The 16365-nt window shown below is 47.3% G+C and overlaps 1 annotated feature.

Annotated features, from left to right (window-relative positions):
- Positions 2900-2989: an enhancer, noted in NCBI's record as "active region_18068". NCBI's record gives its function as "activates an Ori minimal core promoter by ATAC-STARR-seq in GM12878 lymphoblastoid cells {active_cell/tissue: GM12878}" and the evidence as "EXISTENCE:reporter gene assay evidence [ECO:0000049][PMID:35858748]".

Below are 16365 nucleotides of genomic sequence, written 5' to 3'. Positions count from 1 at the left end.
ACCAGGTATTTAGTAAGGGAGAAACAGGTTTGGAGGGTGAGGAATCATAAAGTTTAATTTTATTAGACAGGCGTGGTGGTGTGCACCTGCAGTCCCAGGAGGCTGAGGTGGGAGGATTGCTTGAGCCTGGGAAGTTGATGCTGCAGTAAGCCAAGATTGCACCACTGCACTCCAGGGCAGCGGAGTGAGGCTCTGTCTCAAAATAATAATAATAACAATAAAAGTTTAATCTTAACCATGTTAAATTTGAGATTCTTACTAGACATTAATGAGCAGTTGGACACAGAAATTAGGCATTTATTATCTCCACAGTTCTTAATAAGTAAATCTTGCATCTGTAGGTTTTTTTGTACTTAGTCAAAGCATCCCAATAGTTACAATATTTGCATATATGTGTGTACTATATTATACACACACATATATACTTCTATTCATCCATCTATCTCTCTACAATTTACCCGGAAGATGATGCATGAAACTAGTCATAGTGCCTGCCTCTGGGGAGGGGGGACTGTTGGCTACAGGATGGAGGTGGGAGGGAGGCGGGAAGCATACTTTTACTCTGCTTGAATAAAGAACTGGAGACTAAGAGGAAACTTACTTAAGGTCACAGAGCTGGTGGGTAGCAGGGCTGCCATTTGGGCTGAGGTTGGCCTGGTCCCAAGTCCAAGCTCTTTCTGTTCTGACAGGTTCTCTCTCCTAAATGTATACCTCCAGGATCAATGCTGTCTTTCTTGCTGCCTCTCCCTGGTCTGGCTCCTCTGTGTGTCTCACTGCGGCATCTCCTGTGGCTGAGCATTAATAACTGGCTAAAAGGATTCCTGCCTGTGGCCAGGAAAGGCTGGGTGCACTCTTCTTCCCCTCCATTCTGGAAATCATCTATGTAGCCTGTGGCTACAGCTGCAAGTGAAAATAGTGCTGGAAGGTTCCCAGAAAACACACCTGCCCCAAATGGACCAATTTCTCCTGCCTTCCTTTACTTAAAGATTAGAGATGTTCAGAATTCTGGTCACAGGCCTGGGTTATAACTGCTGCTCTTTCACTGCTAATGGTGCTGTGTGTCCTTGGGAAAGTTACTTACCTTCTCTGTGCCTCGATTTCCTCATCTACAAAATGATATTAATAGCAGTAGCTATCTCACAGGACTGTGGTAAGGGTCAGTGAGCCAGCAGGTGTAAACTGCGTGGCTCTCTGCCTCTCTGGCACACCATCAGTCAACAGGCATTGCTCCCACCCCACACATGCCCTTCCCCCACAGTGCCTTAGCACATGGAGTTCCTTCTACCTGGAATGCCTTTCCCTTCCCCTCTTATTAGTCTAACCGTCTAATTAATGACCACTCACCCTTCAGAGCCTCCAACATTTTACTGTAACATTCACAAAGACAGGACTGCTTGTGTCCCAACACCCAGCACACATGGTATTTGGCATATAGTTGGCATTCATTAATTGTTTATCCATTGAGTGAGTGAATGACTAAGTGAATTAATAAGGTGAAAGATCAGTTAATGCTCACTCATTCAATATATGTTCTGTAAATGAGGATAATAAATACCCATCTGACTGTATCATTAGGCTTAAAAATGCTGCGCATTTAGGTCAGGCACAGTGGCTAACGCCTGTAATCCCAGCACTTCGGGAGGCTGAGACGGGTGGATCACTTTGAGGCCAGAAGTTTGAGACCAGCCTGACCAACATGGTGAAACCCCCGTCTCCACTAAAAATACAAAAAATTAGCTGGGCGTGGTGGCACACGCTTGTAATCCCAGCTGCTCCGGAGGCTGAGACATGAAAATCACTTGAACCCAGGAGACAGAGTTTGCAATAAGCCAAGATGGTGCCACTGCACTCCAGCCTGGGGGACAGAGTGAGGCTCTGTCTCAAAAACAAAGAAACAAAAAAGCAAAAATGCTGTTCATTTAAGTGTCTAGAGTGATACCTGGTCAGCAGCACTGAATAACATTTATTATTAGTGCTATTTTATATTATTATCATTTTAAAAATTTTTTGTCGTTTTTGTGGAGACAAGGGGTGTGGGGAAGGGGTTGCCAGGTTGCCCAGGCTGGTCTCAAACTCCTGGGCTCAAGTGATCCTCCTGCCTCTGTCTCCCTGAGTGCTGGGATTACAGCTGTCAGGCACCACACCCAGCTATGATCATTATTATTATTTCGCACAGGTGTTCTTGCATCTTACTGGTGGGCTTAGGCGTTCTTGGCCCTGCTCTCATGGACAGGCCCCTTCAGAGCTTCACCTTGGCAGCTGGATGCACTTCTCTGTCCAAGCAGCCTCAGCCTCCAGATGCAGGAATGTTCCTGTCTTGGGGAAACAAATTCTTAGCTTCAGGCCTGACTTCTGCCTGGCCTTGGCTTCAGTTTCTTTGTAGATAACTTCATTCAGCTGCAGAGCATCATGGACATATCGTGTGGTTTCTGCCCAGTTTGTGGTGACCCATCTCTCTTTGAAACAGGTGCAACTACCCCATGAAACCACGCGTACAAGCTACTCAACCCTGCCCTCCAGCCAGAATTGACTGCACAAAGACGGGCACCTGACTGGTTGAGGTGATCAGATTCTCTGTCTTGAGAATGTGGTGAGTCTTGTGGGCTGTTGCTTAAAGGAAGGGGTTGTGCTGTCAGGTGCTATGGGGCAGTCGGGTTTGCTCATGGGCTCAGGGAAGAAGACAGGGAGAGGGAAAAGAGAGAAGCAGAGATGAGGAAACCTGTGGGCAGAGTCATAGAGAGACCAGGATTTGGCTGCCACAATTCCTGGTGGCCTTTCAGGTGCTCATTTAAGAAATGTGTGAGGCCACTGCACTTCCTGCCCTTGTGTTTCATGTGATAACAGCGGTTCTCACAAAAAGTACAGCCAGGTGGCATAATAGACACCTGTTGTCTTTGCCTTTCTGGCCTTGATGCCCCTTCTGGAAACAGCACCTGCATTCTCCCGGGAGCTACGGGTCTCCTCCTTTCTGTCCGTGGGGGCCAGCTCTGCCTAGCTCTAGGCTGGCCCAGTCACAGCGATTGGTTTAGAAATGGGCATGTGACCAGGCTAGACCCAGTGAGACTTCCTTCTGGGACTTTCTGTTCTCATCCGTGAAAAGACAGAATTGCCTGGCTCTGCGGTTGCTGAGAGGCCATCTTGACCCAGGAGTGGGGACACAGCAAAAGCTGGAGTGCAGCACTGGAAACGGAGGGAGAGTCCCTGGAGCCACATGTTGGCCCTTGGGTCCAGCTGTGCTGGAAGCTGGCACTTGTCCTGATGTTTTCAATTAAGTGACCAAAAATAAAAGTTGATTCTCCTCATGCTTCAACCAAATTTAGTTGGGTTTCTGCAACAGCAGAAACACTCCTGACTGATACTTCTTATGGTGAATTTCCCCTTTTTTTTCTTTCTTTTTTCCTCTTTTTTTTTTTTTTTTTTTTTTTTTTTGAGACAGGGTCTCATTCTGTTACCCAGGCTGGAGAACAGAGAACAGTGGCACAATCATGGCTCACTGAAGCCTCAAACTCCCTGGGCTCAGGTGATCCTCCCACCTCAGCCTCCCAGTAGCTAGGACTACAGGCACTCACCACCACACCCAGCTAATTTTTTGTATTTTTGTAGAGACAGGGTTTCGCCATGTTGCCCAGACTGGTCTCAAACTCCTGGGCTCAAGCAACCTGCACGCCTTGGCCTCCCAAAGTGCTAGGATCACAGGCTGAACCACCGAGCCCAGCCTCCCCCTTTTATTATAGTTGGAGCCAGTTTTAGTGGGTTATTTTCCACCAGATCCATAGATCTTGGACTGGGATATTGAGCCTCCATTCTAATGCCCACACTTCTGTTTCATTCCCAGTGATTTTGTAGGTTCCCAGATTTTGGCCTTAGTTCCTTTTCCTTTTGCTTTTGAGAAACTGCCTGGGATAAAAGAAGTGGGAACTTCCATTCATCAAGCGATTACAATTTCAATAATTGTAACTTCCATGAGGAAGTCATTCTAATCAGCCCCATCTTGGGATATGGTGGTTTAGAGTCAGAAGTGAGATGAGGACCAATGAAGGCAGGATTTTACAAATGAGGAAATGGAGGCTCAAACTGGTGAAGTGACCTGCCAAAGATTACCCAGCCAGTAAATACTGAGCTGGGATTTGAACTCTGCTCTACAGGACTTCAAAGCCTGGCTTTTAGCCACTATCTGTCCTGCCCAGGAACAAGAGCAATCCAATGCACAACCACCTGCCTAAGTAACATGCATTGGAGGCCCCAGGTTTATGCTTTTCCCCCTGCAAATTCCAGGTCTAGGTGTTTAAGAAACAAGCAGACAAGAATAGCTGAGGATGTGTTTCACAGCCCTGAGCATGCAAAACTAGGGCCGGGCGCAGTGGCTCACGCCTGTAATCCCAGCACTTTGGGAGGCCGAGGCAGGTGGATCACGAGGTCAGGAGATTGAGACCATCCTAGCTAACATGGTGAAACCCCATCTCTACTAAAAACACACACAAAAAAATTAGCTGGGTGTGGTGGCGGGCACCTGTAGTCCCAGCTACTCGGGAGGCTGAGGCAGGAGAATGGCGTGAACCCGGGAGGTGGAGCTTGCAGTGAGCTGAGATGGCGCCACTGCACTCCAGCCTGGGCGACAGAGGGAGACTCCGTCTCAAAAAAAAAAAAAAAAAAAAAAAAAAGAAGAAAAAAAAGAAAGAAAGAAAAACTAGAGACAATCTACATGTCTCCGAATGGAACATTAGATAAAATATGATGGCTGGAGGCCAGGCGCAGTGGCTCACACCTGTAATCCCAACCCTCTGGGAGGCTGAGGTGAGCAGATCACTTGAGACCAGGAGTTCGAGACCCGCCTGGCTAACATAGCGAGACCCTGTCTCTATTAAAAATATAAAAATTAGCCGGGCATGGCGGTGCACACCTGTAATCCCAGCTACTGGGGAGGCTGAGGCAGAAGAATCACTTGAACCCAGGAAGCAGAGGTTGCAGTGAACCAAGAATGTGCCACTGCACTCCAGCCTAGGCAACAGAGCGAGACTCTATCTCAAATAAACAAATAAATAAAAACAAGTAAATAAATACAAATTTAAAAAAAAAAAGAATATTTTGTGACACATGAAAATTATGTAAAATTCAAGTTTCAGTACCCAGAAATAAAGTTTTATTGGCACGTGGGCATAGTCATTTGGTTTTTTGTTGTTGTTGTTTTTGTGTGCTGTACAACAGCAGAGTTGAATAGTTGTGGCAGAGACTGTACTGCCGACAAAGCCTAAAATCTATATTATATGGCTATTTACCTAAAAGGTTTGTCAAGCCCCTGGCTTATTTGATTCTTATAACATTTTTATCCCCTTTCTACGAGTCCTATTTTTATCTACTATCACATATTTATTCCCTTTCTACCAATGAGAAGACTGAGAGAGAGAGGTCTCAGAGAGGTTATGCCATGCCCAGGGTCACACAGCAGAAAAAAGCTAGGATAAGAGCCTAGGAGCCCGGCTTCTGAGTTCAGGGCTTAACCCCAGGTTAGAGCCCTCCTAGCTCACAGCCTCTGTGCCTGGGACTCGCCCTGGGAATTCCCTGGCCTTCAACTCGCAGCCCTGTGCTGGTGGAGGCCCATCCAGGGTGAGGAACTGCAATGTCTCCTCAGATAGCCTCACAGGGCACCTTGCCAGGCCCTTTTTTCCTCTGGAGCCTGTCCTGGCTCACACAGGCCGCTCTGTGAGGCTGTGGGCAGGAGGCCTCTCTGGCCAGCAGTGTTCGGTTACTGCAGTGACATTCAATTGTTCCTAAGAGAGGAGGCCTGTTTTTGGCAGCTCCTAGACCTGGATTCCAGGAAGCTCTGCCTGACTCCCTTTCTGTTTGTTTCCCATCAGCGAATCTGCCTGTATCACTTTCCACCAGGTTACGTAAGTCAGCCTGTCGCTCTCACTCTGTCTGTCTTGCTGTTATCTTCTTATCACTCTCAGCACATCACCAGCCAGGGAGGAAGACTCAGGACTTAATAATAGGGGGATGGGACAAGACACAGGGCATGTCTGTAGTTTAGTGCTTCCAAGATGGACCGAAACTTCAGCTCTGCCCAGTTCCAAGGCTCCAGGGATGCATGTCTTACCCTAGATCCAGGGGCCCAGGGCCTCAAACCTGGAAAGTGATCCCTGGGGTGGCAGTGCGGCTCTGTGGGTGAAGGACCCATGCCTGTGTGGACACTAGCATAGTCCCTCAGCAGGCTAGCTTGGTAAGAGCTAGGAAAACAGAAAATGGATATTCAGACTCAAGAAGTGGATGTTTGAGTTCACATCTCAGCTCTGTCATTTACTGGTTATGTAATTTTGGGCAAATTTCTAAAACTGAGGCTCAGATTCTGCATCTGTACTATGGAAATAATAATAAAACCTCTCTTATTCAACATAATAAATTTTTTTTAAGAGACAAGGTCTTGCCGGGCATGGAGGCTCATGGCTAAATACAAAAATTAGCTGGGCATGATGGTGTGTGCCTGTGGTCCCAGCTACTTGGAAGGCTAAGGTGGGAGGATCCCTCGAGCCCAGGAGGCAGAGGTTGCAGTGAGCCAAGATCGCCCCACTGCACTCCAGTTTGGGTGACAGAGTGAGACCCTGTCTCAAAAGAGAAAAAAATAAAAGAGAGACAAGGTCTTGTTCTGTTGCCCAGGCTGGAGTATGGTGGCATGATCATAGCTTATAGCTCACTGCAGCCTCCAAGTTCTGGGCTCAAGAAATCTTCCCACCTCAGCCTCCCTAGTAGCTGGGACTACAGGCATGAGCCATTGTGCCCAGCTCGTAAAAATAATTACATCATTTAATACAAGTAAAGGGCTTAGAGCAATGCTTCGGCTCAGGCAATAAGGGCTCAGTAAGTAGAAGCAATTATTATTATTACTAAAATAAGAACTATTGTTATTGGGCCAGGAGTGGTGGCTCACACCTGTAATCCCAGCACTTTGGGAGGCCAAGGCAAGCAGATCACTTGAGGTCAGGAATTCGAGACCAGCCTGTTCACAAACATGGTGAAACCCCGTCACTAATAAAAATACAAATATTAGCTGAGTATGGTGGTGTATGCTCGTAATCTCAACTACTTGGAAGCCTGAGGCAGGATAATTGCTTGAACCCAGGAAAAGGAGGTTGCAGTGGGCAGAGATCGCGCCACTGAACTCCCATCTGGGTGACAGAGCAAGATGCTGAAAAAAAAAAAAAAAAAAGTCGGGCACGGTGGCTCATGCCTGTAATCCCAGCACTTTGGGAGGCTGAGGCAGGTGGATTACCTAAGGTCAAGAGTTTGAAACCAGCTTGGCCAACGTGGCGAAACCCTGTCTCTACTAAAAATACAAAAAAATTAGCTGGGTATGGTGGCAGGCGCCTGAAATCCCATTTACTTGGGAGGCTGAGGCAGGAGAATTGCTTGAACTTGGGAAGTGGAGGTTGCAGTGAGCCGAGATCGCGCCATTGCACTCCAGTCTGGGTGTCAGAATGAGACTCTGTCAAAAAAAGAAAAGAGAGAGAGAGAGAGAGAAAGAGAAAGAAAGAAATAAAGAACTATTGTTATTCGTACTCATCAGAGAGAAAAGGTCATGCACGTGCCCAAGAAGGTATGAACAGTAACATTTGTTGCAGGTCTATTTTTAATAGAGACAAATTGAAAACCATCTAAATGACCCTTGAGGCCAGGTGTTCAGGACGAGCTTGGGCAACATAGTGAGACTCCATCTCTACAAAAAATTTAAAAATCAACCAGCACAGTGCTGTGTACCTGTAGTCCTAGTTACTCAGGAGGCTGAGGTGGGAGGATCCCTTGAGTCCAGGAATTCAAGATTACAGTGAGCTATTTTCAAGCCACTGTACTCCAGTCTGTGACAGAGTGAGACCCTATGTCTCTTGTTTTTGTTTTTTGTTTTTGAGATGGAATTTCGCTCTTGTTGCCCAAGCTGGAGTGCAATGGTGTGATCTCGGCTCACTGCAACCTCCGCCTCCAGGGTTCAAGCGATTCTCCTGCCTTAGCCTCTCGAGTAGCTGGGACTACAGGCGTGTGCCACCACGCCCAGCTAATTTTTTGTATTTTTAGTAGAAACAGCGTTTCACCATGTTAGCCAGGCTGGTCTCAAACTCCTGACCTCAGGTGATCTGCCCACCTCGGCCTCTGAAAGTGCTGGGATTACAGGCGTGAGCCACCACGCCCAGCCTTTGTTTTTCTTTTTTTGACATGGAGTCTCATTCTGTTGCCTAGGCTAGAGTGCAATGGCACGATCTCAGCTCACTGCAACCTCTGCCTCCCAGATTCAAGCGATTCTCCTGCCTCAGCCTCCCGAGTAGCTGAGATTACAGGCGCCACCACACCTGGCTAATTTTTGTATTTTTAGTAGAGACGGAGTTTTGCCATGTTGGCCAGGCTGGTCTCAAACTCCTGACCTCAAGTGATCTGCCCACCTTGGCCTCCCAAAGTGCTGGGATTACAGGCGCGAGCTACCATGCCCGGCCACGAGACTCTATCTCTAAAAAAAAAAAAAAATCAATAATAATAATAATATTGGCCAGTTGTGGTGGCTCACATCTGTAATCCCACCGCTTTGGGAGGCCAAGGCAAGAGAATTACTTGAGGCCAAGAGTTCGAGACCAGCCTGGGCAAAAATAGCAAAACCCCGCCCTCCCCCACAACAAATCTCTATTTTTCGAAAAAAGAGAAAAGTAAGTAAGTAAATAAGTAAATGTCTCCCGATAGAGAATGGCTAAACAAATTATGGCACATCTATACTATGCACTTCTGTGCAGCAAGTAAAAAGAATGAGGCAGATCTATATGGCCTGATATGAAAAGCCTTCCAAAATGTAGTGTTGCTCAATGCAAAAAAGTAAGTAGCAGAAGGCTACATGGAGCATGAAAATGTACGTAAAACAAAAACGCAAAATAGCCCCTGATGACATATACATATGCAAATGCCCAGAAAAAAAATGTCTAGAACAGTTGATATGCTTGTCACCAGCCACGTGTGGCTGTTTACATTTAAATGCAAATGAATTACAACTAAATAAAATGTAAAGTTTAGTTCCTCAATGGCATCAGGCCCATTTCCAGCGCAGCTAGTGGTGGGTGGATTAAACAGTGCAGATATAGGATCTATGCATCGCTGCAGAGCCTTCTATTGGATGGTACTGGTCTAGAAGAATAGCAAAGCCAAATTGATAACAGCAATTATGTTGGCATAGGGGAGGAACAAGGATTGCAGGGCTTTATTTATTTATTTATTTTTGAGATAGAGACAGGGTCTTGCTATGTTACCCAGGCTGTTCTCAAACTCTTCAGCTCAAGCAATCCTCCCACCTCAGCCTCCCAAAGTGCTGGGATTACAGGCATGAGCCACCATGACTGGCTGTATTATTTATTCTTTTAAACACATATTTATTGAACATTTACTCTGTGCCAGGCACTGTCCTTAGCACTGAGACCACACTCTGCATATATCCATGCCTTCTGGGTGTTCCCATTCCAGTGGCTGATATATCAAGTGGAAATAAGTGCTTTGGCAAAAAAAAAAAAAAAAACAGAGCAGCGGATATGGATAGAGAATGTTGGCAGATGGCACAGGGTGATCATTAAAGACAATTTTTTTCACTTACGTGCATTTTTTTTAAAGATGAGACCTCCTTACTTTTTTTTTTTTTCTTTTTTTGAGACGGAGTCTTGCTCTGTTACCCAGGCTGGAATGCAGTGGTGCGATCTCGGCTCACTGCCGATCCCAGGGTGTGATCCCAGGTTCAAGTGATTCTTCTGCCTCAGCTGCCTGAATAGCTGGGAATACAGGCGTGTGCCACCACACCCGGCTAATTTTGTTTTTTATTTTTGGTAGAGATGAGGTTTCACCATATTGGCCAGGATGGTCTCGAACTCCTGATCTCGTGATCTACCCACCTTGGCCTCCCAAAGTACTGGGATTACAGGCATGAGCCACTGCGCCTGGCCCTCCTTACCTTGCATACTTTTACTCCTTATGTACTTTTAAAACTATATAAAAGGAGTGCCAGCTGCGGTGGCTCATGCCTATAATCCCAGCACTTTGGGAGGCTGAGGCAGAGGGATCACTTGAGGTCAGGAGTTTGAGACCAGCCTGGCCAACATGGCAAAACTCTGTCTCTACTAAAAATATAAAAATTAGCCAGTTGTGGTGGCACATGCCTGTATTCCCAGCTACTCAGGAGGCTGAGGCAGGAGACTTATTTGAACCTGGGAGGCGAAGGTTGCAGTGAGCTGAGATGGAGCCACCTCACTCCAGCCTGGGCAACAGAGTAAGACTGTCTTTAGAAAAAGAAAAAAGAGAAAAAAAAGTACATAAAAGGAAAAAAACATACCCCAGGACTGGAGAGAGGAAACCTGAATTCCTACCCAGTTCTGCTCTTGCCTTGTGTGCCTGATGCCAAGTGGCTTAACCTTTCTGGGCCCCCGTTTCTTTATCTGCAATATGCATTAGACAAAGGCTCCAAGGCCATCAGCCCTGTCGTCCTGCGGCTGGATGCTTCTGTGAGTTTCTCTACCTGTCCAGGAAACCCACGGATCATTGGCATTCTTTGGAAGTGTTAAAATGGCAAGATTCTGCAGGAACCTGTTGCAAGAATCCAACAATCCAGAGGGAAAGAGGAGAAGAAGGAGCAGGAGGAAGAGACCTAGGCAGCCAGCAGAGGCTTCGATCTCCAGCAAACTGCCTGAGGGCTGCTTCCGTGAACCTGGCTTAAAGCAATACAGCATTCCTTAGAAAGTCATGGGGCGTGGTGGCTCACAACTGTAATCCCAGCACTTTGGGAGGCCGAGGAGGGTGGATCACCTGAGGTCAGGAGTTCGAGACCAGCCTAACCAACGTGGAGAAACCCCATCTCTACTAAAAATACAAAATTAGCTGGGCATGGTGGCACATGCCTGTAATCCCACCTACTCGGCAGGCTGAGACAGAAGAATCGTTTGAACCCGGGAGGCGGAGGTTGCAGTGAGCCGAGATCGTGCCATTGCACTCCTGAGCAACAGCCTGGGCAACAAGAGTGAAACTCTGTCTCAAAAAAAAAAAAAAGTCATGTTATAGCAGTGCAGACAGACACTTCCTAATAATGGCTAATATTCCTTGAGCACTGACAGTGCTCTGGGCACCCTTTATGCAGATTAATTCATTTAATCCTTGCGACAGACCTGTGGAAGGAGTTCAGAAAGGCTGGGCTGCATAGCCCTCAGTCTTAATCACTATGCTTCAGCACCTGCTGCGTACAGGAAACTAAAACATTAGACAGAAGAAACCAAGGCGTTTGCTTGTTTAAAGCAGTATATTCATGTGCCCTGGGTACACAGACTAAGTGGAGATTAATTCTGATTGAGAGTGTTGGGGTCTTCCTGCTTCTTCCCAGCCGCTTCTCAGATGCCAGAAGAATCCTGAATCAGACCCTGTTTCTCTGCTGAAAATCTTCCTGTGGCTTCCACCTCACTCAGCATGAAAAGCCGAAGTCTCACTGTGATCCATTGACAAGGCCTTCCATGATCACTTGCTCTGCCGTGCCCTCCGATCTCATCCTTCCACTGTCTCATCCCACTCCTGCCAAGCTGGCCCCCTCCCTGCTCCTTTGCTCCCTTGCTGGAGCTGCGGCCTCCTCCAGGGAAGCTCCCTGGAGGTGAGGTCTGAGCTGATCCCAGGAGTGTGTGTAGGTATAGTTAGTCTAAGAGAGTGGGAAGGTGAGGGGAGGGAAAGATGTAACACACAGCGTGAGCAAGCGTGCCTCATTCAGGGACTCAAAGGAAACCAGTGTGGTGGTGTTCGTAAGAAAGAAACTGAGCGGAAAATGGCAGAGGAAGAGTGGGAGAGGTGGGCAGACCTGCTTTATGCAGGGGCTGGGAGGCGTGTCAGGCGGTTTGGATTTTTTCCTGAGGGCAATGGGGAGCTATGGAAGAGTTTATTTGCTTCTTATGTTTTTTAATTTTAATTTTTTTAATTTTTTGTAGAGACAGGGTCTTGCTACATTACCCACACTGGTCTCGAACTCCTAGCCTCAAGTGATCCTCTGGCCTCGGCCTCTCAAAGAGCTGGGATTATAGGTGTGAGCCACCACGTCTGGCTGGAAGGATTTTGAACAAAGAAAGAACATGTATGGGGCTGGGAGTGGTGGCTCATGCCTGTAATCCCAGCACCTTGGGAGGCCAAGGCAGGCAGATCACTTGAGCCCAGGAGTTTAGGACCAGCCTGGGCAACATGGTGAAACTCTGTTACTACAAAAAATACAAAAATTAGCCAGGCGTGTTGGTGTGCACCCACAGTCCCAGCTACTCAGGAGGCTGAGGCGAGAGGATAGTTTGAGTGTGGGAGGCAGAGTTTGCAGTGAGCTAAGATCATGCCACTGCACTCCAGCCTGGGCGATAGAGTGAAACTCTGAAGAAAGAAAGAGAGAAAGAGAGACAGAGAGAGAGACAGGGAGAGAGGGAGAGAGGGAGGGAGGGAAGGAAGGAAGGAAAGGAGGATGGGAGGGAGGGAGGGAGAAAAGAGCTGTAGCGAGAACCCCGATCTTCTCAAAGAAGACCTAAGTGGTCATAAATAGAATGTTGGTGAAAATATGGATAAGAAAGGTCATTTTGATGAGGTCTCAGAGAGAAATGAGGAATATGTTACTCAAAACGGGAGGAAAGGCAATTCTTGTTATAAAGTGGCAAAGAACTTGCCTGAATTGTGTTTATGACCCACTATTTTGTGGAAGAACTTGTGAGCAACAAAAGTAGACATGTAGCTTAAGCCATTTCTTTTTATTTTATTTTTCAAGTTGGAGTCTGGCTCTGTCACCCAAGCTGGAGTGCAGTTGCACAATCTTTGCTCACTGCAACCCCTGCCTCCTGGGTTCAAGCTATTCTCATGCCTCAGCCTCCCTTGTAGCTGGGATTACAGGCGTGTGCCATTGTGCCCAAATAATTTTTGTATTTCTAGTAGAGATGAAATTTCGCCATGTTGGCCAGGCTGGTCTCAAACTCCTGACTTCAAGTGACTATAGGCGTGAGCCACCGTGCCTGGCCTGAAGCTATTTCTAAGTAAAGAGTTGAGGGTGCAGCCTGGGTTCTCTTGACTACTTATAGTAAAATGAAGTGAGAGAGAAATGACTTAAAGATGGAATTGTTGGCCAGGCACCGGTGGCTCACGCCTGTAATCCCAGCACTTTGGGAGGCTGAGGCAAGTGGATCACCTGAGGTCAGGAGTTGGAAACCAGCCTGGCCAATATTGCAAAACCCTGTCTGTACTAAAAATACAAAACATTAGCTGGGCGTGGTGGCAGGCACCTGTAATCCCAGCTACTTGGGAGACTGAGGCAGGAGAATTGCTTGAACCTGGGAGGCGGAGGTTGTAGTGAGCCAAGATTGTGCCACTGCACTCCAGCCTGGGCAACAGAGCGAGATTCTATCTCACCAAAAAAAAAAAAAAAAAAAAATGGAATTGTTAATCAAAAAGGTAGAACTCAAAGCCTACCCATATTGGAAAAAAACAGAAAGCCTATATAAGACAGAACAGCTGGGTGTGGCAGCACAGGGCTATAATCCCACACTTTGGGAGGCCAAGGAAGGAGGATAGCTTGTGGCAGGGAGTTTGAGGCAAGTCTGGGCAATATAGCAATACCCTGTTTCTAAAACAAATAAAAAAAAATAGCAGGCTGGCATGTGCCTATAGTCCTAGCTACTTGAGGGGCTGAGGTGGGAGGATCACTTGAGCTTGGGAAGTCAAGGCTGTAGAGAGCCATAAACACACCACTGCACTCCAGTCTGGACAACACAGCAAGACCCTCTCTCAAAAAAAAAAAGAAAGAGAGAGAAAGAGAGTGAGAGAACAAAGGTGTGGCCAAGGAAACATTTGATAAGGAGATTAGTATGGATCAGCCATCTCAACAGAAACCAGGATCTGTTGTCCAAGAGAATGAAAGAAGGACCCCAAGGCCGGGTGCCATGGCTCACGCCTGTAATCCTAGCACTTTAGGAGGCTGAGGTGGGCAGATCACTTGAGGTCAGGAGTTTGAAACCAGTCTGACCATCATGGTGAAACCCCGTCTCTACTAAAAATACAAAAATTAGCCAGGCGTGGTGGTGCGTGCCTGTAATCCCAGCTACTCCGGAGGCTGAGGCAGGAGAATCTCTTGAACCTGGGAGGTGGAGGTTGCAGTGAGCCACAATTGTGCCACTGCACTCCAGCCTGGGCAATAGAACGAGACTCCATCTAGAAAAAAAAAAAAGAAGGACCCCAAAGACATTTCAGAGATGACTGGAGCTGCTCCTCCCGTGATAGGCCCATTGTGCCAGGGCCCAGAGGACAGAGCAATTTCAAAGGAGGGGCCACCAGGGCCTGTGGGACTTTGGCTACCACTGCCTCTCGACTCTGCTCCCCACACTCCATTTCTACCTCCTCGGCCATCCCAGATGCCGCTCCAGTGGGCCCTGGTTTGGGGTGTACTGTGCCCAGCAAAGCTGTGGGGACGTGGCTGCCTCCACCTAAGTTTCTAAGGATGCCCCCAGAAGGCCTCAGGGCCTAGGCAGAGAAGCAAGGCAGCAGCAGGGCCTCTGTGGAGAGCCCCCACAAGGGCAGTGCCGAGTGGAGCCATGGGGGTGGGGTGCCTGCAGAGGTGGGGCCACCCTGAGACTCCAGACTGGTTGCACCACCAGAGCGTGATGCCAGGCTGGGACAGCCACAGGCACATTACTCCAATCCATGAGAACTGTGGCATAGGCTGCACTCAGCAAAGCCGTGGGAACAGAACACTCAGAGCCTTGGGGGTCAAACTGCTGCCCAGCCAAACTGTGGAGGCAGGACCTCCATCCCAGTGGGTCCGGAAGTCAGGGCACAGCCCCCAGTGGGCCTGGAGGGCAGAGCCTTGAGTCAAAGATTGTTCCTGAGACGTAAGGTTTTGGACTTGCTTCAGATCTGTCACCCCTTTCCTCCTTCCTACTTCTCCTTTTCGGAATGGGAATGTCTGTCCTATGCCCATCCCATTGATGTATTTTGGTAGTTCACAGGTTCACGGCTAGAGAGCAGTTTGCTTCAGGATGAATCGTATCTTGAGTCTCACCTGTATCTTATCTTTATTTTATTTTATGTTTTGAGATGGAGTCTCGCTCTGTAGTCCAGGCTGCAGTGGAGTGGCGTGATCTTGGCTCACTGCAACCTCTACCTCCCGGGTTCAAGCGATCCTTTCACCTCAGCCTCCTGAGTAGCTGAGATTACAGGCCTGTGCCACCATGCCCAGCTAATTTTTTTGTATTTTTATAGAGACGGGGTTGGACCATGTTGGTCAGGCTGGCCTTGAACTCCTGACCTCAAATGATTCACCCACCTTTGCCTCCCAAACTGCTGGGATTACAAGCGTGGGCTGATATTATGGTTTAAGACTTTGGGGGCTATTGGGATGGAATGAATATATTTTGCATGCAAGAAGGACATGACTTTTGGGGAGCCAGGGGAGAAATGCTAAAATCTGAATGTTTATGTCTCCCCTACCAAATTCATATATTGAAACTTAATCACCAATGGGGTGGTATTAGGAAGTGCGGCCTTGGGAAGGGTTTAGGTCATGAGGGTGGAACCCACAAAAATGGGATTAGTGCCACATATAAAAGAGGCCCCAGAGAGCTGCCTTCCCCTCCTCAACCATGTGAGGACACAGCGAGAAGATATCATCCATGAACCAGAAATCAAGCCGTCACCAGACACTGAATCTGCCAGTGCTTTGATCTTGGACTTCCCTGCATTCAGAACAGTGAAAAATAAACCTCTGTTGTTTAAAATCCACCCAGCTTATGGTATTTTGATATAGCAGCCTGAAAAGATGAAGACAATGAGTGAGCAGATGAAATGGAGATAGGGGGAGTTCAAGGGAATAGATAAGACGGAGCGTAGATAGCCAAGAAGCTTAAAGTCCAGGGACATAGCCGGGTATGGTGGGATGCACCTGTGGTCCCAGCTACTCCAGAGGCTGAGACAGGAGGATCACTTGAGCCCAGAAGTTTGAGGCAGCAGCAAGCTATGATGGCACCACTCTACTCCAGCCTGGATGACAGAATGAGATCCTGTTTCAAATAAATACATAAATAAGAAAAAATTTTTAAATGATTAAAGTCCAGGGACAAAAAGTACCACAAACAAAGTCAAAACACAAATGACAAGCCAGGAAAAATGTCAACTCATATAGAAAGGGCTGTATCTTCCTAATACATAAAGCATATTCTTTCTAGAAATAGAAAAGTACACACCCAGTGGAAAATGGCAAAGGAAATGACCAAAAAAATACAAACGGCTCTTACATATATTAAAAGATGCTTGAATTATCACAGAAGAAGAAATGCAAGTGAAACTATGTGACGCTCACTCTGTTGTGCTGGC

The sequence above is a fragment of the Homo sapiens genome, chromosome 20 (genome assembly GCF_000001405.40).
Source record: "Homo sapiens chromosome 20, GRCh38.p14 Primary Assembly".
NCBI classification, from domain to species: Eukaryota; Metazoa; Chordata; class Mammalia; order Primates; family Hominidae; genus Homo; species Homo sapiens.
The sequence above is the reverse complement of the archived record's forward strand: the minus strand, read 5'-3'. Positions and strand labels throughout refer to the sequence as shown.